Below are 23,413 nucleotides of genomic sequence, written 5' to 3' on the forward strand. Positions count from 1 at the left end.
ATCCCAGGACTTTGGGAGGCTGAGGCGAGCAGATCACCTCAGGTCAGGAGTTTGAGACCAGTGTGGCTAACATGGTGAACTCCCATCTCTACTAAAAATACAAAAATTAGCCAGGCATGGTGGCACATGCCTGTAATCCCAGCTACCTGGAGGCTGAGGCAGGAGAATTGCTTGAACCTGGGAGGCAGAGATTGCAATGAGCCGAGATCACACCATTGTACTCCAGCCTGGGTGACAGAGTAAGACTCAGTCTCAAAAAAAAAAAAAAAAAAAAATTATTTTCCAATAAAAGGAACTAAGTGATTGATTCAAGGGCTAGGGCAAGAAAAATATGAGTCTAGAACAGAAGTAAAACAATACTCTAAAAAAGATGGGGCTTATTCAAAATACACAGGAGCCAAAATGAAGAAACTCCTAAGGGTCCAAGCCATAATAATTTGAGCAACAAAACAAAGAACGATAGTACTGAATTTTCAGCCGTAAGTTAAGATAAATGTATGTTCATAGCAATATAAATAAATAAGAAAAAGAAAAAGCAGGCTGGGCATGGTGGCTCACACCTGTAATCCCAGCACTTTGGGAGGCTGAGGAAGGCGGATCACCTGAAGTCAGGAGTTCTAGACCAGGTTGGCCAACATGGTGAAATCCTGTCTCTATTAAAAATACAAAAATTAGCCAGGTGTGGTGGCACACGCCTGTAGTCCCAGGTACTCAGGAAGCTGAGGCAGGAGAATTGCTTGAACTTGGGAGGCAGAGGTTGCAGTGAGCCAAGACTATGCCACTGCACTCCAGCCTGGGCAACAGAGTGAGACTCTGTCTCAAAAAAAAAAAAAAAGAATACCAATCTTTCTCAAATTCTTCCAAAAAAGAAGAGAGAATACCTCCAAACTCATTTTATGAAATCAGTATTACCCTGATACTAAAGCCAGACAAGGACATTACAAGAAAAGAAAACTACAGGCCAATAACCTTGATGAATATAGACAAACATTTAGCCAGACTAAGAAAAAAAGAGAGACAACACAAAATCAGAGATGAAAAAGGAGACATTACAACTGATACCGCAAAAATTCAAAAGATCATTAGTGGCTATTATGAGCAACTATATGCCAATAAATTGAAAAATCTAGAAAAAATGGATAAATTCCTAGACACATACAACCTACCAAGATTGAACCATGAAGAAATCCAAAACCTGAACACACCAACAAGTAACAAGATTGAAGCCATAATAAAAAGTCTCCTAGCAAAGAAAAGCCCAGGACCCATGGCTTTCCTGCTGAATTCTACTAAATATTTAAAGAACTAATACCAATTCTACTCAAATTATTCCAAAAAATAGACAAGGAAGGAATAACTCCAAACTCATTCTATGAGGCCAGTATTACCCTGATACCAAAACTACACAAAGACACATCAAAAAAGGAAAACTACAGGCCAATATCACTGATGAATATTGATGCAAATACCCTCAACAAAATACTAGCAAACCAAATTCAACAGCACGTTAAAAGGATCATTCACCTTGATCAAGTGAGATTTATCCCGGCAATGCAAGGATGGTTCAACATCAACACACTTATTGCAAATCAATAAATGTGATATACCACATTAACAGAATGAAGGGGGAACAACCCCACACAATCATCTCAATAGATGCAGAAAAAAGGCTAAGTATAGTGGCTCATGCCTGTCATCCCAGCATTTTGGGAGGCTGGGGTGGGAGGATGGCTTGAATTCAAGAGCTCAAGACTAGCCTGGGCAACACAGCAAGATACCGTCTCTACAAAAACAGCTGGGCATGATGGCACATGCCTATATTCCCAAGTACTCAGGGATGCTAAGGTAGAAAGGTCCCTTGAGCCCAAGAGTTTAGGTCTGCAGTGAGCCATGATTGCACCACTGCACTCCAATCAGGCTGACAAGAATGCAACAGTGTCTTAAAAAAAAAAAAAAAAAGATGGCCAGGTGCAGTGGCTCATGCCTGTAATCCCAACACTTTGAGAGGCCAAGGCAGGCGGATCACTTGAAGTCAGGAGTTCGAGACCAGTCTGACCAACATGGGAAAACCCCGTCTCTACTAAAAATACAAAATTAGCCAAGCGTGGTGGCACATGCCTGTAATCCCAGCTACTCGGGAGGCTGAGGCAGAAGAATTGCTTGAACCTGGGAGGCAGAGGTTGCAGTGAGCCAAGATCTCACCACTGTACTCTTGCACTCTAGCCTGAGCAACAAGAGCAAAATTCCATCTCAAAAAAAAAACAAACAGAAAAATACCTCTTCACAGATAGCTTTCAGATGCCACATGCAGGAGCTGTGAAAAAAGGGGGGAAAAATAGAGCAGAAAAATAATTTGACAAAATTCAACAGCCTTTCACGGTAAAAACTCTCAACAAATTAGGTATACAAGGAATACCTCCATTGTGTACTTCAGTACAATAAGAGCCATGGAAGACAAGCAAACAATGAACGTATTCAGCAGTGAAAAGCTGAAAGCCTTTCCTCTATAATCAGGAACAAGCATGACAAGGATGCCCACTCTCATTTCTATTCATCAATGATAATTTTCTGATTCTGATGGTATTGTGATGATATAGAAAATCACACTAAAGAGGCCGGGCACAGTGGCTCACGCCTGTAATCCCAACACTTTGGGAGCTGAGATGGGGGGATCACCAGAGGCCAGGAGTTCAAGACCAGCCTGACCAACATGGTGAAATCCCATCTCTACTAAAAATACAGAATTAGCCAGGCATGGTGGCACATACCTGTAATCCCAGCTACTTGGGAAACTGAGGCAGCAGAATCACTTGAACCCAGGAGGCGGAGGTTGCGGTGAGCCGTGATAGTGCCATTGCACTCCAGCCTGGGCAACAAGAAAAAAACTTTGTCTCAAAAAAAAAAAAAAAAAGAAAATCACACTAAAGTATCCAATGGTCAAATTACTGTAATTGGTTCAGGAAAAAAATTATTTGCACTATATTGTACAATAAAAACTTTTCAGTATGAGATTGTTTCAAAAATACAGTATATCTCTTTCATGACAAAAATGCTGATCAAACTAGGAATAAAAGAGAATTTCCTCAACCTGAAAAAGGGACTCTATGAATAAGCTACTGCTAGCATCGTACTTAATGGTGACAGATAATGTTTTTACCATTAAGATCAAGAAGATGACAAGGATTTCCACTCTTGCCACTTCTATTCAACACTGTCCTGGAAGTTCTAAACAGACCAATTAGGCAAGAAAATGAAATAAACGGCGTACAAATTAGAAAGAAAAAAGTAGGCCGGGCGCGGTGGCTCACGCCTGTAATCCCAGCACTTTGGGAGGCCGAGGCGGGTGGATCACGAGGTCAGGAGATCGAGACCATCCTGGCTAACAAGGTGAAACCCCGTCTCTACTAAAAATACAAAAAATTAGCGGGGCGCGGTGGCGGGCGCCTGTAGTCCCAGCTACTCGGGAGGCTGAGGCAGGAGAATGGCGTGAACCCGGGAAGCAGAGCTTGCAGTGAGCCGAGATTGCACCACTGCAGTCCGCAGTCCGGCCTGGGTGACAGAGCGAGACTCCGTCTCAAAAAAAAAAAAAAAAAAAAAGAAAGAAAAAAGTAAAATTAGCTCCATTTGCAGAAGACATGATCTTGAATATAAAAATATCAATTGTATTTCCATACAGTAGCAATGAACAAACTAAAAATAAGAAAACAATTAATAATAGCATCAAAAAATAAAATACTGGGTGGGCACAGTGGCTCATGCCTGTAATCCTAGCACTTTGAGAGGCTGAGGCGGGTGGATGACCTGAGGTCAGGAGTTCGAGACCAGCCTAACCAACATGGTGAAACCCTGTCTCTACAAAAAATACGAAAATCAGGCTGGGTGCAGTGGCTCACCCCTATAATCCCAGCACTTTGGGAGGCCAAGGCAGGTGATCACCTGAGGTCAGGAGTTCGAGACCAGCCTGGCCAACATGGTGAAACCCTGTCTCTACTAAAACTACAAAAATTAGCCGGGCGTGGTGGTGGGTACCTGTAATCCCAGCTACTCGGGAGGCTGAGGCAGGAGAATCGCTTGGACCCAGGAGGCGGAGGTTGCAGTGAGCTGAGATCGCGCCACTGCACTCCAGCCTGGGCAACAGAGCGAAAGTCTGTCTCAAAAACAAAAACAAAAATTAGCTGAACACGGTGGTGGGCGCCTGTAATCCCAGCTACTAGGGAGGCTGAGACAGGAGAATTGCTTGAACCTGGGAGGTGGAGGTTGCAGTGAGCCAAGATCTTGCCATTGCACTCCACCTGGGCTACAGAGTGAGACTCCGCCTCAAAAAAAAAAAAAAAAAACTTATGCATAAATTTAACAAAAGAAATGTAAAACTTAAACTTTAAATGGAAAGACTCCCATGTTCATGGATGGGAAGACAGTATTTTTAAGATAACAGTAATCCCCAAATAGATTAAAATCCCACCTAAGCCTCCTTTTTTGCAGAAATTGACAAATTGATCCTAAAACTTGTTTGGAAATGCAGAGGACCCAGAATGGTCAAAAAAGTCTTGAGAAAGAAGAACAAAGCTGGAAGACTCAAACTGCCTGACTTCAAAACAATTGTAAGCAAAATAGTGTGGTACTGGCATCAGGATAAACATACAGATTAATGGGCCAGGCACGGCGGCTCACACCTGTAATCCCAGCACTTTGGGAGGCCGAGGGGGGTGGATCACGAGGTCAGGAGATCGAGAACAACCTGGATAACATGGTGCAACCCCATCTCTACTAAAAATACAAAAAATTAGCCAGGCTTGGTGGCGGGCGCCTGTAGTCCCAGCTACTCAGGAGGCTGAGGCAGGAGAATGGTGTGAACCTGAGAGGCGGAGCTTGCAGTAAGCCAAGATAGTGCCACTGCAGTCCAGCCTGGGAGAAAGACTCCATCTCAAAAAAAACCATACAGATTAATGGAACAGAACAGAAAGCTCAGAGTTAAACCCTCACCTTTTGATCAATTTATTTTTGAAAAGGATGATGGCCGGGCATGTTGTAATCCCAGCACTTTGGGAGGCCAAGGTAGGCAGATCACTTGATGCCAGGAGTTCGAGACTAGCCTGGCGAAGATGGTGAAACACCATTTCTACTAAAAATACAAAAATTATCTGGGCATGGTGGCCAACACCTGTAGTCCCAGCTACTCAGGAGGCTGAGGCATAAGAATTGTTTAAACCTGGGAGGCGGAGGTTGCAGTCACTGCACTACAACCTGGGCAACAGAGCAAGATTCCACCTCAAAAAAAAAAAAAAAAAAAGGATGCAAAACAATTCAATGAGGAAGGACTAGTCTTTTCAACAAATGGTACTGGATATCCACATGTAAAAAGATGAAGTTGGACTCTCACCTCACACCATACATAAAAACTAATTCAAAATAGATCAAAGACTTCCATGTAACAGCTAAATAATTAAACAATACAACCTTTTTTTTGAGATAGTGTTTTGCTCTTGTTGCCCAGGCTGGAGTGCAAAGGCGTGATCTCAGCTCACCGCAACGTCCACCTCCCGGGTTCAAGCGATTCTCCTGTCTCAGTCTCCTGAGTAGCTGGGATTACAGGTGCCTGTCACTACGCCAGGCTAATTTTTGGTATTTTTAGTACAGACAGGGTTTCACCATGTTAGCCAGGCTGGTCTCAAACTCCTGACCTCAGGTGATCCGCCCACCTCGGCCTCCCAAAGTGCTAGGATTACAGGTGTGAGCCACCATGCCTGGCCAATAATACAAATCTTAAAAGAAAACTTAAATCTTTGTGACCTTGGATTGGGCAGTGGCTTCTTAGATATGACATCAAAAGCACAACCAGTTTTTTAAAAAGACAAATTAGACTTCAACAAAATTTAACACTTTCTGCTTCAAAGAACACCATCAAGAAAGTGAAAAGACAACCTATAGAATGGCATAAAATATTTGTAAATCATATATCTGATAAGGGACTTGTATAGAGAATATATTTTTTCATTTGTATTTTTTTGAAGATGGAGTTTCACTCTCGTCACCCAGGCTGGAGTGCAGTGGCACGATCTTGCCTCACTGCAACCTCTGCCTCAAGGGTTCAAGCGATTCTCCTGCCTCAGTCTCCCGAGTAGCTGGGGTTACAGGCGTGTACCACCATGCCCGGCTAATTTTTGTATTATTAGTAGAGATGGGGTTTCACCTTGTTGGTCAGGCTGGTCCTGAACTCCTGACTGCAGGTGATCCACCTGCCTCATCCTCCCAAAGTGCTGGGATTACAGGCATGAGCCAACACGCCCGGCCTAGAGAATATATTTTAAAACTCTTACAACTTTAATAAAAAAAAAAAAAAACCCAATTAACAAATAGAAAAAGGATCTGAGTAGACATTTCTCTAAAGAAGATATATAAATGGCCAAGAAGCATATGAAAATATACTCACTGGTCATCAGGAAAATGAAAGTCAAAATTCCAATGAGACACCACTTCATACCCACCAGGATGGCTTATAACAAAAGTACATATAGCAAGTGTTGTCAAGGATATAGAGAAATTGGAATTTTCACACACTGCTGGTGGAAATGCAAAATAGTGCCGCTGCTTTGAAAAACAACCTGGTAGTTCCTGAAAAGGTTAAACACAAGAGTTAGCATATGACCTAGCAATTCCGCTCCTATGCATATCCCCAAGAGAAACGAAAATAAGTGTTCACATGAAAACTTGTACACGAATGCCCAAAGCAGTATTATTCATTATATCTCAAGACTGGAAATAATCCAAATGTCCATCAACTAATGAATGGATAAATACAATCTGGTCTATCCATACAATGCAATACTATGAGTACTAAAAAGGAATGAAGTACTGACACATACCTCAATATGAATGAACTTTGAAAACATTATGTTAAGTGAAAGCCAGACACAAAAGACCACATATTGTTTGATGTCATTTGTATGAATGGTCCAGAACAGGCAAATCCATAGAAAGAAAGATGAGTGGCTGCCATGGGCTCAGGGAAGAGTGGAATAGAGTGTAACTGCCAAAGGGTATAATGTTTCTTTTTGAGGTGACGAAAATGTTTTAAAATGATTGTGGTGATGGTTGCACAACTCTGCAAATACACTAAAACCCATGAATGGTATATTTTTTTTTTTTTTTTTTTTGAGACAGGGTATCACTGTCACCCAGGCTGGAGTGCAATGGTGTAATCATGGCTCATTGCAGCTTTGACTTCCCCGGCTCAAGCAATCCTCCCGCCTCAGCCTCTGGAATAGTTGAGATTACTGGCACGTGCCTCCACACTCGGCTAATTTTTTATTTTTTGTAGAGATAGGGTCCCACTATGTTGCACAGGCTAGTTTCCAACTCTTGGACTCAAGCAATCCTCCTGCCTCAGTCTGGGAGTCACAGGATTTACTTATTTAAAAACTCAATTGTTTAAGGGAAAGAGTTAAACTCTAGTGTGCTTCATTGATTTCCTCTGCCCCTTTTGCTGTTTTATGACAATTCCTAATTTGTTCATTAATATTTCTAGAAAGATGCTATGTTGTTGCCATATAATAATATCGATAATAGTTTGGCTGGTTGACTGTAAGTACAAATAACATATTCATTTTCCTTAAAAGTCTGTTAGTTTAACCGTGTATCTGACTGGCCAGATAGTCTTGTCTATTTGGCTTCTGGGAACGGTGTCTTCCCAGTGTCAACGTTCCTATCTGCCTTATTTATGTGACCTGACTGACCAGAAATCCTAATGTAGCCATCTTGCTCCAAAAGGTTCTTGGTCTTCCCTACCTTGTTACATTACACTCATCGTCTTCTTGACTTACTGTACACTGTTTGCTCTCTTTTCTCCCTCTCTTCTTGGTGAGCAACTCAAGAGATGCCTCAAAGGTTGAGAGAAGTGAGCTGGGCATGGTGGCTCACACCTGTAATCCCAGCACTTCGGGAGGCCCTAGCACGTGGATCACCTGAGGACAGGAGTTCAAGACGAGCCTGTTCAACAAGGGGAAACCTCGTCTCTACTAAAAATACAAAAATTAGCCAGGCATGGTGGTGCGCACCTGTAGTCTCAGCTACTCAGGAGGCTGAGGCAGAAGAATCACTTGAACCCAGGAGGCGGAGGTTGCAGTGAGCCAAGATGGAGCCACTGCACTCCAGCCTAGGCGACAGAGCGAGACTCCGTCTCAAAAAAAAAAAAAGATTGAGAGAAGTGACTTGTTACTCCTTTTATGCATGCTCACAGAGCTCAGGCTGATAGCTCCACTTACTTTCCTAGAAGCAAAGCTAACATGCTCTTCCACACCCACCACCTTCACTCCATCCTCACCTGGGTTCTAGACAATAAGGCGAACTCAGGCCGGGTGTGGTGGCTCAGGCTGGGCGTGGTGGCTCACACCTGTAATCCCAGAACTTTGGGAGGCCAAGGTGGATGGATCACCTGAGGTCAGGAGTTCGAGACCAGCTTGGCCAACATGGTGAAACCCTGTCTTTCTACTAAAAAAATACAAACATTAGCGGGCACGGTGGTGGGCGCCTGTAATCCCAGCTATTCAGGAGGCTGAGGCAGGAGAATCACTTCAACCTGGGAGGCGGAGGTTGCAGTAAGCCGAGATGGCACCACTGCACTCCAGCCTGGGCAACAAGAGTGAAACTCCGTCTAAAAAAAAAATAAATAAGTAAATAAATAAATAAGTAAGGCGAACTCAGCAGTAGCACAGCTGTCTAAAGTAGACTTCCTAAGAGCTGTGGGACTTTTCATTTCTCTGTCAACCTCCTATAGTTGCCATAAGGATCAAATAAGATGATGTGATAATCTTCGTAAACTTTAAATGAGGCAAAGGGTAGTCCTGCAAGGATCAAATAAGATGATGTAAGCTGGGCGTGGCAGCTCACGCCTGTAATCCCAGCCCTTTGGGAGGCCGAGGCGGGCGGATCACCTGAGGTCAGGAGTTCAAGACCATCCTGGCTAACATGGTGAAACCCCATCTCTAATAAAAATACAAAAAAAAAAAAAAATTAGCTGGGCGTGGTGGTGGGTGCCTGTAGTCCCAGCTACTTGGGAGGCTGAGGCAGGAGAATGGCTTGAACACGGGAGGCGGAGCTTGCAGTGAGCGGAGATCGCGCCACTGCACTCCAGCCTGGGTGACAGAGCGAGACTCCGTCACCAAAAAAAAATAAAATAAAATAAGATGATGTGATAATCTTCGTAAACTTTAAATGAGGCAAAGGGTAGTCCTGATTACACAATCATTTCTGTACTTTCGGAGCAATTTACATGTGTATTTTGTTTCATTTTTATTATTAACAAAAACCTCCAGTATGTCTGAAAACTACTAAGACTAACTTCCTCCAATCACTGTATAGAACGGATCACAAATATAATGTTTACAAGGCCAAAAAAGTAATGTAAATAAGCAAAGCAGGCTGTAAGAAGGAATGCATGCCCCTTCTGAAAGACAAATCTTCCCTAGCTCAAGCTAATTGCTGCCAGGCAGGAATGTGGGCCCACTGTTACCAGATTATCCCTTTTTCCCAAAAGGAACTGAACTCTCAGGATTTCTAAGTGTTGATTCCCATTTAAAAAATAACAACTGCAAAACATATCCACATGCCACATCCCAGCCTACTGGTCTACAGTGACCTCATTTATAGTCGGTCATACTCTCTAAAATAAAAGCAACATCAAGTGAGGAGTTAGTGATATGTAAGCACAAGAAAGGAAAAAGAACTATGCACCTGTAGAAGGCAACGTTCAGAAACCAAAACTTGGTAGGATTAATAAAGATATTTGAAGCTACTTAGTCTGGTGGCTAGGAAAAAGACTCATGCAAACTAACCAATTCAAGATAAAAAGAATAACCAAGTGTCAAGTCAGAGTGACTTTTCCACTACATCACACTGGCTCCCAAATGGATAGACTATAGAGAGAATAAGGCATTTTTTTCAACTGGATGGCAGTTTAAAGTAGTCTGGAGTACAAACTTAGAACAGGTGTCAATCTTACTGATATCTTCCTGGAACAGAAGCTGAATTCAAGAATATTTTACCCTGGACCAAATGTTATCCAACACTCCCAGCCTATATTGGCCATCAGCAGAGCATACAGAAACCACAGAGTAGCCCAACAATGGGAAGGGAGAAACTTTCACCAACTCAAGAAAGAAAAAAAAGAAGGAAAATCAGGTGACTAATGTTTGTTTTCATTATTTCTTGTTTTAAAAGCAAAATTTCAAATTTACTTCCTCCATAAAAAGAAAAGCAGGCTGGGTGTGGTGGCTCACGTCTGTAATCCCAGCACTTTGGGAGGCCAAGGCGGGTGGATCATCTGAAGTCAGGAGTTCAAGACCAGCCTGGTCAACATGGTGAAACCCTGGCTGGGCACAGTGGCTCACGCCTGTAATCCCAGCACTTTGGGAGGCCGAGGTGGACAGATCAACTGAAGTCAGGCGTTCGAGACCAGCCTGGCCAACATGGTGAAACCACGTCTCTACTAAAAGTACAAAAATTAGCCGGGCGTGGTGGCAGGCGCCTGTAATCCCAGCTACTTGGGAGGCTGAGACAGGAGAATTGCTTGAACCCGGGACGCGGAGGTTGCAGTGAGCCAAGACCACATCATTGCACTCCAGCCTGGGCAACAAGAGCAAAACTCCACCTCGGGGGGGAAAAAACCATGGTGAAACCCCCATCTCTACTAAAAATACAAAAATTAGCTGGGTGTGTGGGTGCATGCCTGTAGTTCCAGCTCCTTAGGAGGCTGAAGCAGGAGAATCACTTGAATCTGGGATGCGGAGTTTGCAGTGAGCCAAGATTGCACCATTGCACTCCAGCCTGGGCTACAGAGTGAGACTCTGTCTCAAAAAGAAAAAAAAAAAAAGGCTGGGCATGGTGGCTCAAACCTGTAATTCCAGCACTTTGGGAGGCTGAGGCGGGCAGATAACAAGGTCAAGAGATTGAGACCATCCTGGCCAACATGGTGAAACCCCATCTCTACTAAAAATATAAAAATTAGCTGGGTGTGGTGGCACGCGCCTGTAGTCCCAACTACTTGGGAGGCTGAGGCAGAGAATCGCTTCAACCTGGGGCAGGGGGCAGAGGTTGCAGTGAGCCGGGATCACGCCACTGCACTCTAGCTGGGCAGCTGAGCAAGACTCCGTCTCAAAAAAAAAAGAAAGAAAAAAAGAAAAGAAAAGCAAATCTTTAAGTTCAATTAAAAAAATCTTAAAGTTCAATTTTAAAGGGAGGGGAAAAAAGAAGCCATATGTCTTTTTTGTCAAAGTCTCACAAAGGATATCCCTGAAAGCTTGCTGCTTTAACCATATGCTAGATAACCTGTAAAATAACTTAATTCCCAAGTACTTACAATACTAGAATTCTAGAGCTAGATGGAGGGAGTGGAAGCCATTCAGGTCATCTCTCTCACTTTTGTAGTCTTATTCTACAAAGGTGTAGATTCACACTAGGACCCAGATCTATACTTTTCTGTTTGGAAATCACCAGAAGATCTACAAAAAGTTATCTCCCATGTAGTCTTTACATGAAAGCTTGTTCCAATATACAACTACTCTTGAATGAAGGAGCAAGCCAAGAAAGAAAAAAATTTGAGAACCAGGAAACAGATCCATTAGAGGAGAGAAGCAAAGGGAAATTCCAGGCAACCATTCTGTAGCAAGCCTGGAGAAAACTAGTTCAAACTACAGCAAGAAGGAAAAAGTGTCCTGAAGGATAGTCTCCAAGGAGAAAATATGGAACCAATAGATCATCTAATAGATTTGATCATATAAGAAACTGTACTAGGCCGGGCAAGGTAACTTACACCTGTAATCCCAGCACTTTAGGAGGCAGAGGCCGGCAGATCACTTGAGGTCAGGAGTTGGAGACCAGCCTGGCCAACATGACGAAACCCTGTCTCTCTACTAAAAAAACACAAAAATTAGTGGGCATGGTGGCACACGCCTGTAGTCCCAGCTACTCAGGAGGCTGAGGCAGGAGAATGCTTGAACACGAGAGACAGGGGTTGCAGTAAGCCGAGACTGCGCCACTGCATTCCAGCCTGGGCGATAAAGCGAGACTGTCTCAAAAAAAAAAAAAAAAAAAAAAAAAAAAAAAAAAAAAAACTGAAACTGTACTAAATGTCCATAGGACCATAAGATCAAGTGGGAAGAATCAGAAATATGTAAACAGTTGGGTGTGATGGCTCATACCTGTAATCCTTGCTACTTGGGAGGCTAAGCAGAACGATCACTTGAGGCCAGGAGTTCAAGACCAACCTCTGCAACACAGTAAGACCCCATCTCTAAAAAAATAAAATAGCTGGGCATAACAAAGCAACAGAAAATTTCTAAAATTAAGAGATCAAGAAATAACAGTAGCCAGGTGTGCTGGCTCATGCCTGTAATCCCAGCACTTTGGGAGGCTGAGGTGGGTTGATCACCTGAGGTCAGGAGTTTGAGACCAGCCTGGCCAACATGGTGAAACCCCATCTCTACTAAAAATATAAAAAAATTAGCCGGCGTGGTAGCGGGCGCCTGTAATTCCAGCTACTCAGGAGGATGAAACAGAATTGCTTGAACCCAGGAGGCGGAGGCTGCAGTGGGTCAAGATCTCGCCACTGCACTCCAGCCTGGGTGACAGAGCGAGACTCTGTCTCAGAAAAAAAAAAAAAAAAAGAAAAAATTAGCTGGGCATGGTGGTGGGCACCTGTAATTGCAGCTACTCAGGAGGCTAAGGAATGAGAATTGCTTGAACTCAGGAGACAGAGGTTGCAGTGAGCACCACTGCACTCCAGCCTGGGCAACACAGCGAGACTCCATCTCAAAAAAAAAAAAAAAAGAAAAGAAAGAAAGAAATGGTATTTGTTCTTTTCTCAAGACCCTATTCTCCCCAAAATCTCTTTGGCTAGAACTTCAGACTATTTCACTTCCGATATCATCTTCCACCTCTCTAACTCCCAACCTCTCCAACTATGTTTCCTTCTTATACCTAAATGTGAGCATTGTCAAGGCTGCCCCCTCCCCCACCGCATCTAAACATAGATTATTTTTCCTATATCCATCCATGTCCGTGTCTTCAACTCTATCTTCAGATTTAGGAAATCAGCTCAGGCCTTCTTACCAAGTTCCAGTCATATTTCAAATGCTTCCTGCAGATCTCCCCTTGGCTATCCAGTAATCACTTCAGACTCAATATCATCAACTACCATGTATATTCTTTCTAAAAAATCTCCCTGTTTTAACGTCCCCATCTCTACTAAAGATATCGTGCTACCTCTAGGAAGAAGACAATATAATGGCCAACCCCTGAGGTTCTTGAGTGAGCCCAGTTGAATTCATATCTCGCTAAGCCACTTACTAGCTGTGTATCCTTGAGCAAGTTAACCTCTTTGAGCTTCAATATCCTTATCTGAAAGAAAAAAAAAAAAGACTACCACCACCACTCTCCCACATAATTACCGTGGCCATTAAACAAGACAACATATGTAGCCAGGTGCAGTGGCTCACGCCTATAATCCCAGTACTTTGGGAGGCCAAGGTAGGTGGACTGCTTGAACCGAGGAGTTTAAGACCAGTCTGGGCAACATGACGAAATCCTGTCTCTACAAAAAAAAAAAAAAACTCCAAAAAATTAGCCAGGTATGGTGGTATGTGCCAAGTTCCAGCTACTAGCCCCAGCTACCCAGGAAACAGGGGAGTACTGAGATGGCAGGAGAATCACCTGAGCCCAGAGAGGTCAAGGCTGCAGTGAGCCCTGATCACGCCACTGCACTCCACCTAGGAGTGACAGAGTCAGACTCTATCTCTCTCTCTCTCTCTCTCTCTCTCACACACACACACACACACACACACAACATAGGCAAAGCTCCTAATAAAATGCATAAACTGGAGGTTATGATGATAAGTGAAATACGCCAGGCACAGAATGACAGACATCACATGTTCTTACTTATTTGTGGGATCTAAAAATCAAAACAATTGAATTCATGGAGATAGAGAGTAGAAGGATGGTTACTAGAGGCTGGGAAGGGTAGTGGGTGGTTGAGGGCAGGTGGGGATGGTTAATGGGTACCAAAGAAAAAAAAAAAGACCTAGGATTTGATAGCACAACAGGGTGACTATAATCAATAATAATTGCACATTTCAAAATAACTAAAAGAGTTTAATTGGATTGTTTGTAACAAAGAATAAATGCTTGAGGGGATGACTACCCCCCACCCAAAAAAGCATAACATACAATAAGCATTCAATAAATATTAGCTACTAAATCTTTTATGGTTAACATCGTCAGCAGCAGCAAGAGCGTTACAGCTGAATCCACTTAGACCCCAGCACAGGTCAGACTTGTTCTAGGCTCTGGATCCATTTCCTATCCTTAAGCAAAACAAATAAGAAACCCCAGTAGTAGGTCAGTATTCATCAATGTGGTTCTGATCTTTCAATTGAACTAGTCCCTGAGCTACCAATCTACAAACTAGATTTCATTCCCTTGGGTATTTAAGGACCGCTCAGTCCTGTCCACTACCCTACGGGACCTGAGGGTAACAGCCAGCCCAAAAGTGCCTACAAGACTGTGCCCACTGCTGTACCCAAGCAGTGGTTCGTTCTCTTGGTATGCCTTTGGAAAACCTGCCACCTGCCAGGCAGGACAAACATCTCACCTAGCTGAACTTCTTCCCAGAGCTGGGTCTCCCCGACAAGAGTTTTCCCTACCCTGGTGGCCCCTCCTATTCTAGACTCAAAGTCACTCACGCTCAAGACCTCAGGCTTCTCTGACTCCCACATCGTCCCTACATCAATCAATAACTAAACTCTGCTGAATCCTTCTTGCACATGTCTTCTGCAGACACTCTTCTTTCCTTGTCATTTGTACTACCTTCTTTATCCCTCATCAGTCTCTGCCTGCGTTTCAAACAGTGCTTACAAAAAACAGCCAGATTAATTAGCCAAAAATACAGCTTTCATATGTCACTGAATTGCTCAAAAAGCATCTGAGGTTCTCTATATCCAATAAGACAAAATTTCACTTTCCTTTGCTGATATTGTGAATTTCCCTACTTTTGAACCTTTGCTAATACCATTCCTTCTATCTAAAATATTTTCTCTTCTGGTTGTGGTGGCTTATGCCTGTAATCACAGCACTTTGGGAGGCAGAGGCAGGAAGATTGCTTGAAGCCAGGAGTTAGAGATCAGTATGGACAACATAGCAAGATCCTGCCTCTACAAAATTTTAAAAATTAGCCAGGCATGGTGGCACAAGTCTGTAGTCCTAGCTACAGGAGGCTGAGGTGAGAGGATCACTTGAGCCCAGGAGTTCATGGCTGCAGTGAGTTTTGATCGTGCCACTGCACTCCAGCCTGGGTGACAGTGAGATCCTGTCTCCAAAAAATAAAATATTTTCTCAACTCTCCTTCTTTGTTCATCCAATTCAATATTTCCTTCAAAGACTCTTGTTCAAATCCTATGTTCTCTGCAAAGCTCTCGCCATTCTTACTAGCAGCAGGGTGTTCTCAGCAGAGGGAAAACAATGCAAATGATCTGAGGTAAGAGCAAGTCAAGCAAGTAGACCAGTGTGACTCACATTGTTGAGTAGGAAGTTTATTACTCAAACCTGAAATTTGAGGGAGAGGTTCTGGCTAGAGAAATACATTTGGGAGTTGTCAGAATATAGATTAGGCCTATCTTACAGAATTTTTGCAATGATCAATATGATACCAGGGCATACTTGCATGACTGCCATTCAGCAGTGAACTCATACATCTTTATGAATGATGTTAAATGAAAGTTAAATGAAAAAAAGTAACTCAGAAAAGTTTGCAATAAAGGTCAAAAGCTATAAAACTAAAATAAACAATAAAACTAAACAATATACTGCTTAAGAAGTATTCAAATGTGATAAAACTATAAAGAAAACTAAGGAAATTGTTATCCAAATATAGAATAATACAGCCGGGCACGGTGGCCCACGCCTGTAATCCCAGCACTTTGGGAGGCTGAGGTGGGTGGATCACCTGAGGTCAGGGGTTTAAGACCAGCCTGGGCAACATGGTGAAACCCCATGTCTACTAAAAATACAAAAATTAGCCGGGCGTGGTGGCACGCGCCTGTAGTCCCAGCTACTTGGGAGGCTGAGGCAGGAGAATCGCCTGAAGCTGGGAGATGGAGGTTGCAGTGAGCCGAGATTGCGCCACTGTACTCTAGCCTGGGCAACAAGGGCAGACTCTTTCTCAAAAAAAAAAATAATAATAATAATAATAACAATACCTTTACAGGGGAGGAGCAGAGTTATAATTGGACAGGTGAGCACAGACAGGTTCAAAGTTGCTGGAAATGTTTGTTTCCTAAAGTAGATGGTACACAGGTGTTTTTTTCTTCTTTGTCCTATATACTCTGGCATGTACAATATTAAATAAGAGAGTAAAAAAATAAGAGGCAATATATAAACATCAAATAGATGTTTCACAATGTTTTTAAAAATTATTAAGTTGAGAAAAAGGAAGAGTAATTGTGTGACCTGTATAACAAGGCCTAAAAAGAATAAAGGATTTAGTCATATAAAGAAAAGACAGAAAGGGCATCTCGGAATTGGGAATGAATAGGTCATGTAAAAGGAGACAGCAAATTGGTAAGTCTGACTGGAGAAGAGTTAGGCTGAAAAGTTGGGCTAAGCCAGCCAACAGAATGCTTACATGCTGGGTCAAGAAGTTTGAACTTGATCTTGAAATAGCACAGAACCACTGGTGATATTTAGGCGAGACAACAGCTTGGGAAAAGTGGTTTATTAATCTGATGTGATGATAAGAATCAACTAGTAGGGAGACAGAAGGCTGGAAAAGTCAGTTCTAAAACCTGTTCAGGTGAGATAATCTCACTGATGTAAGATGTTACGAAGATGATCATGGCCTGAACTAGGATGGTGATGAGGGTCAAGATCACTCCAAGAAACTTTAGGAATCTTTAGGATGAAAGACTCAGGAGGATTGGGTCTTGGGAATAGGCAATGAGGGAAAAAGATTCAAAGATTTTCAAGCTAAACTGAAAACTCTCATTTTCAAGCTAAACTGAAAAAATGATAACAACATAGCAAAACTAAGGACTCTACAGAAAAAAATTGTTTTGAAAAAAGACCATTAATCAATTAAGTTATGCAGTAAATATGTACTGAGTACCTACTATGTGTCAGGCAGAGTGTGATGCCTTCCCTTCAGAAAGCAGATTGTGAGTCCTACTTTAAAAAGTTATTCCGAGCGCAGTGGCTCACGCCTGTAATCCGAGCACTTTGGGAGGCCAAGGTGGGCAGATCACCTGAAGTCAGGAGTTCAAGACCAGCCTGGCCATCATGGTGAAATCCCAGCTCTACTAAAAATACAAAAATTAGTTGTGTGTGGTGGCACACACCTGTAATCCCAGCTACTCTGGAGGCTGAGGCAGAAGAATCACTTGAACCCGGGAGGTGGAAGTTGCAGTGAGCCAAGATCGTGTCACTCTCCAGCCTGGGCAACAGAACAAGACTCAGTCTCAAAAAAAAAAAAAGTTACACTTTTAATAGGCAAAAAGAAACTAAACAGTTCTTTGAGAAGAATAAAATAATTTTGTGAGTCCCACTTTTTAAAAAAGTAATCAGTATGGTGATAAAATACTAAGTTGTTTTTCAAAATTAATTGAAAGAAACAACAAAACATAAAAGTGGAGGTGTCTAGTAAAAGGTCAGAGGTAAAGCAGTTTACTGTTTATTACTGAAAGCTCCTTGAGGACAAGATTTATGGTTATCTTTGCATTTACATAGTACTGGACACAGTGTGTGATCACTACAGAGTAGACATTCAAATAATGTCTAAACTAACAGAACAGTGAAAACAGACTGAAGACAAGCCAAATGAGAAGGCTCCAGAACCTAACATATCTATAGAGGATCTACCCCTGTGGAGGGAAAGTGCTCTAGCCTTGTCATCCTGGCTAAAAGGTAGCCTGATCCTCTGGCTACATGTTTAGGAGATATAAAATACCAACAGAAAAACAGAAAGGAAACCAGTGTTTATGAAACATATACTGGGCCTGGCACAGTGGCTCATGCCTGTAACCCCAGCACTTTGGGAGGCAGGGGGATTGCTTCAGCCCAGGAGTTTGAGACCACCCTGGGCAACATGACAAAACCCCATCTCTACCAAAAATACAAAAATTAGTTGTGGGGTGGTGGCATGAGCCTGCAGTCCCAGCTACTCAGGAGGCTGAGGTGGGAGGATCACTTGAACCCAAGAGATGAAGGCTGCAGTGAGCTGAGATCACATCACTGCACTCCAGCCTGGGCGACAGAGTGAAACCCTGTCTCGAACTTTAAAAAAAAGAAAACATACTGAACTTTTTCTCCCCTACCCTGGGGAGACTGTCCCCAACCCTAACTTCTTTTTTTTTAAGACACAGTCTCGCTCAGTCACCCAGGCTGGAGTGCAGTGGCACGATCTCAGCTCACTGCACCTCCGCCTCCTGGGTTCAAGCGATTCTCCTGCCTCAGCCTCCCGGGTTCAAGCGATTCTCCTGCCTCAGCCTCATGAGTAGCTGGGATTACAAGCGCCCACCACCACGCCCGGCTAATTTTTTTGTATTTTTAGTAGAGATGGGGTTTCACCATGTTGCCCAGGCTGGTCTTGAACTCCTGACCTCAAGTGATCCCCCCGACCTCGCCCTGTCAAAGTGTTGGGATTACAGGCATGAGCCACCCCACCTGGCCTCAACCCTAACTTTCAAGACAGGCAGAATGTGTGGATTAGGTTAAAGAAACTTCAGGGGTACCCTGTTCTTTTACACTATTAAAAGGCATTTTTCTGATTGACAGTAGTTTAAAAGCTTGAATGTTGATAGTCCCAACTGACATACCACTGTTTCCTAAGCCTATGGAACAGGGAAATGCAAAGTAGGGCTGCCTGCAAAGTGAGATGACTGATGCCCAGGTGGCTCAAGTTGTTGCCAGGGAATGGGCTATTATCTCCAGGTGCCCCAGTAGTTCAGATAATTCCACACAGTCCCAAGTTATAAAATACAGCTGAACACAGAACAAGGAGGTTACTCTGTAAATGGATTGATCTTACATAAATGCTTTAAGACCATCTCTGTCTCAAGAGGTTAGACCAGAAAATGAATGCCCAAATACCAGCAGAGGCAGTACTTGTGTTTGCAAATACATAACAGTTAAGAGCTCAGGCTCCGATGCCAGATAGACATGGGTTAAATCCCAGCTCTTCCAGCAAATAGCTGTGTGGCTATCTCTGTTAAGACATTCTTCCGACTATGTACAGTAGGGCTGATTGCATTCCTTAAGATGAGAATATGTGGTAGCTTCAGATGTTAGTGCTTTCCTTCCTAAAACTATGCCCTAATCCCTTTGGTTGGACCTGTATTTTCCTCAAAAGCCTCACTCACTGATTTTAGGGTAGAGCTTTCTAGCTGGCTCATCTCATTCATTATGCTTTGAATCTCTCAAATTTCCATCTTTGAGAAAAACATATCTTAAAACTCTGGATGGTCGACCGGACTTTATAACTACAGAGAAAATGTAATTTTAACTAGAACATACAAACCACTTAGTTATACAAAACTTAAAATTGGTGCTTTCTTTAAAAATCACAAATGCTATATGCTGGAGACAGTATGGAGACAGCTAAGCCTAGCCTATCAGTAATGAATTTAGAACAAAAGCAGACTGACACAAAAGAGGACAAAAGGAGGCATCCTGCCTGTGCTTACCACCTGATTCTCTAAGTTCAGGGGTCTTTTGCACATTATAGGAGATTTTGTGATGTAGTGGAAAACAGAGGAGAACAAGTTCCATAGAGTCTTCATTTGTATTAGCTTATCTTAGTGCCCCACTGCTACCATCCTAATACAGGCAGTAAAGACTAAGTCCCAACAGGTTTCTCTGCCTTAGGACTCTCTCCACTTCCTGACATCCTGCACACAGCCACCAAACTACTTTCCTAAACCCCCAGTTCCATCAGATAACTTTCCAGCTCAAAAACTTTAATGGCTCCCTACCTACTACGCATTGGGAAAATCCCAACTAAAATTCAAGACCCAGGCCAGCATTACCCTACTGTTATAATACAGGACTTGTGTCCTTCTAATTACCCCAAGGAAATTCTATAAAGCTTCAACCAGACTAATCGGCTCACTGCTCCCCCAACACAAACTGCCCGCATATCTAGGCTGGATTACGCCCACGCCAGCCCTCACTCCAACCTTTCTGCCATTCCTTCCAAAGCCAGCCTACCCCCCCATCTCTGGCCCCACACACTACCCATACTACCCATCTTCTGACCCTCATCAACACACCCTTGTAGCTATCTCAATTCCCGTGGCATCCCAATCCGCTCCAATCAAGTCAAAGTTCCTTGGAAGGCAGACACATACTTTACATAGAGGGTCCAGCACAGTGCCCTGCACTTAGTAGGTGCTGGCTATTACTGATTAAAACCAGCAGGGGTTCAAATAACGTTTCTAGGGAGGGCAAGATAATACTGCCTATCTTCTTCCATTCGTAGTAAAAAGTATTCAGCGTTCACTACAAGCCTGAAAACGCCTAGCGTACGCAGATCAACGGTGCAGTGGAGAGGGCACGCCGCCGGATGGCAAAAAACCTGTGTCCTAATCCTGGTTTTGCCACAATCTCGGCAGTTGCTGGGAAATCAAGCCATCTCTCGGAGCTCCGGTTGTCTCCGACGTAAAACAAGGGAGCTGCTGTAGAGGATCCCGAGGTATCTTTTGGCTCCTAAATGTCCCCCGATAGGAAACCCCACACTCGTCTTCCAAGGCGGGAGGCAGGCAAACTTTTTTCCCAGCGCGGGCATTCCACACGGTCCTGGAAACTCAGTGCCCGGAGAAAAGGGCAGGGCTGAGGGCAAGGTGAGAAGCGGTCCCCCCGAAGTCGCCGGATTCCTTTACCCCACGGCTCGAGTCCGCCTCAGGTTCCCGGCCCCCTCACAGGCGGACTCCGGGAGAGTGACGCGGCGCGGCTCCCAGGTGCAGGCCGGGTGACTCTGTCCGCCCCTGCGCCCCCCGCACTAGTGGCACACGCCCCGTGGCCCCGGGTAGCGGCCCCGGCCCCTCACCAGCCCAAGGGACGTCCCCGACTCTGGACCAGGCCTCTGGCTCCCGCCTGGCGAGCCGCTCTTCCGGGCCCTGGGGCGGCCTCAGCGCGGCAGTACGGGCCCCAGGCCGGCGGGACGGGCGGCGTGAGGGGCAGCGGTGGCGGCTTTAAGTGCTGAATCACCACTTTGCAACCCGAGCGCCAAACCGCTGTGACCCACGGGGCCCGAGGGCCCGGGCGCTCCATTCCGCTTACCCACACAGGCGCTCCGGAGGCGGCAGGCGGGCGCCGAGGACTGAGCGGAAGGTGCTGGGCAGTGCGGGGTGCAGAAGCCACGCTAGCCGGTACCGCATTAGCCAGCGCAGTCGCCGGGATCACCGCAAACGCTTCCTGCTTGCGCTTCGAGCCGGCCCTGCGCACTGCGCATGCTCTAGCCGCGGCGCCGCGCGGTCTCCCGGGAGCTGCGGAGAGGTAGCTGCTCCGGGTTTTGCCTGGAGCCGGATGGGGCCAGGACGCAGGCGAGGACGGTGAAGACCGCGGACAGCCGAGGCCTGAGCAGGCGGACTGGAGGGACAGGGGTTTGGCCGGGGCGCTTTAGGAGCCAGCACCCAGACTTTCCCAGGCGGGGAGGGTCCCAGCTAGATCCCACCGGCCGCACTTGTGAGGGTGGCGACGTGTGTCTGACTGTGAGGGGGCGAGGGGCCGCTCATAAATCCAGTGAGGGCACACGGGGCTATGTTTTCTGAGGCACCCCCACTGACTAGCGTGCCGGACCCTGCAGGTGTTGGAACAAGGTTCGTGGTCGCGGCGGCCTCACGTAAAATGAATCCGCGGCCGGCGCGCGGCCCGCGGGCTCCCTCTAGAGCGCGGTGGGGACGTGGACCGCGAAGGCACAGATGCGCTGGAGACAAGGCTCGAGTGCGGCGTGGGGGAAATTCAGACGCAGGGGTCAGCGATAGAGAGGCCAGGACCCAGGGGGACGTTTCCATCCTTGGGGAAGTTAGCAGCTCTCTTAAGAGGAAGGTGCGGATGGGACGGGCGCCGCAGCAAAACAAGGCTTCAAATCCAGAGTAGAAACTACTACTCTTGTTAGTACTCCGTACTAGGAATACTACTAATGTCAGTCGGCTTCAGTGGTTACTTTTTAAACAAAGAATTTTCTCCCCAGTGGCTTTATGGGGCTTTGCACCCACGAACAACTTAATAGTTGTTATGAATCTAACTTTCCATAATACCTTATGGGAGTCTTTAAGGAAGAATGCTATTAGGGATGGTGACTTGCCAGCTTAAGTACTTTTAGGTTTCTGATTGACAGACGATCAAGACTGCAGCCAAAAACGGTGTCCTTAGTCCAAGTATTGCTTTAAATGGGAATTCAGTAGGAGGGTTCCTTAATCAAGTTGATGCTTTATCGAAGACGTACCCACGATCTTTTTAACAGTGCGGTTTCACCTAAAGGCAAACCTTTGGATGAAAACAGGTAAAAATTATGGCAAGCCTCCTAGTGGTGTTTGCAAGTGCATGGTTTTAAGAACCTTTAAATTACCAGTCCCAATGCAGAGTAGTCAATCACCTTGAAGCAGCTCCTCTGAGAGTGTTAATGCAGCCTTTCTGAATACATTTATGCTCCATTAATGGAATCTATAAATGGGCTGGGGTAGATTCAGACTTGGAGGGCTTGAAACATATACAATTTGGGGGACCTCTTTGAGACATAAAATACAAATTATAAATACAAAATTAGCAATCAGAAGATTACTATAGAGAGAAAATACATCACAACAAATACTCGAGACTTGGAGATTAGTACCCTTTTTTTTCCTGAGATCTCTTTAGGCTACTTATTAGAAATGCTTACATAAAAATGCTTCCAGATGGCCGGGCGTGGTGGCTCATGCCTGTAATCCCAGCACTTTGGGAGGCCAAGCCGGGCGGATAACGAGATCAGGAGTTCGAGACCAGCCTGACCAAAATGGTGAAACCCCGTGTCTACTAAAAATACAAAAATTAGCCAGGCGTGGTGGCATGCGTCTGTAATCCCAGCTACTGAGGAGGCTGAGGCAGGAGAATCACTTGAACCCTGGAGGCGGAGGTTGCAGTGAGCCAAGATCACGCCACTGCACTCCAGCCTGGGCAACAAAATGAGACTCTATGTCTCAAAAAAAAAAAAAATGCTTCCAGACAACAACTGGCTTTCCCTCTACAACTCCCAGTTTGGAGCCTGTGCAAGTGAGCAGCCCTGAAGTTTAAACTTCATTAGCTTCATGATAAATTTCCCTCTGGTTGGAGTAGATGTCCTGGATAAGAAAGATTAATATTAATATAGTCTCATAACTATCATCTCAATAAA

At 44.5% G+C, this 23,413-nt stretch overlaps 1 protein-coding gene across 15 annotated transcripts in view, besides 3 other annotated features; it reads right to left on the bottom strand.

The window, feature by feature from the left end:
- Positions 1–21,490, bottom strand: part of IDE (insulin degrading enzyme) — a 122,410-nt gene extending 100,920 nt beyond the window's left edge. For 5 of the 15 annotated variants that reach the window (NR_136399.2, NM_001322794.2, NM_001322793.2 and 2 more), the window contains exon 1: positions 21,319–21,490. Coding sequence is in view for 8 of the 15 variants with exons in the window: in NM_001322794.2 (NP_001309723.1) it covers positions 21,319–21,416 (98 nt within the window). In the remaining 7 variants the exon portion in view is untranslated. Of the gene's footprint in view, positions 1–2,277; positions 2,315–6,430; positions 6,613–20,309; positions 21,030–21,085 lie in introns of those variants that run through there. The other 10 variants (XM_017016190.2, XM_047425169.1, XM_047425172.1 and 7 more) reach the window with 5 other exon arrangements.
- Positions 20,890–21,339: a silencer, noted in NCBI's record as "silent region_2617". NCBI's record gives its function as "represses an Ori minimal core promoter by ATAC-STARR-seq in GM12878 lymphoblastoid cells {active_cell/tissue: GM12878}" and the evidence as "EXISTENCE:reporter gene assay evidence [ECO:0000049][PMID:35858748]".
- Positions 21,840–21,899: an enhancer, noted in NCBI's record as "active region_3770". NCBI's record gives its function as "activates an Ori minimal core promoter by ATAC-STARR-seq in GM12878 lymphoblastoid cells {active_cell/tissue: GM12878}" and the evidence as "EXISTENCE:reporter gene assay evidence [ECO:0000049][PMID:35858748]".
- Positions 21,910–22,149: an enhancer, noted in NCBI's record as "active region_3771". NCBI's record gives its function as "activates an Ori minimal core promoter by ATAC-STARR-seq in GM12878 lymphoblastoid cells {active_cell/tissue: GM12878}" and the evidence as "EXISTENCE:reporter gene assay evidence [ECO:0000049][PMID:35858748]".

The sequence above is a fragment of the Homo sapiens genome, chromosome 10, assembly GCF_000001405.40.
Source record: "Homo sapiens chromosome 10, GRCh38.p14 Primary Assembly".
Lineage (NCBI taxonomy): Eukaryota > Metazoa > Chordata > Mammalia > Primates > Hominidae > Homo > Homo sapiens.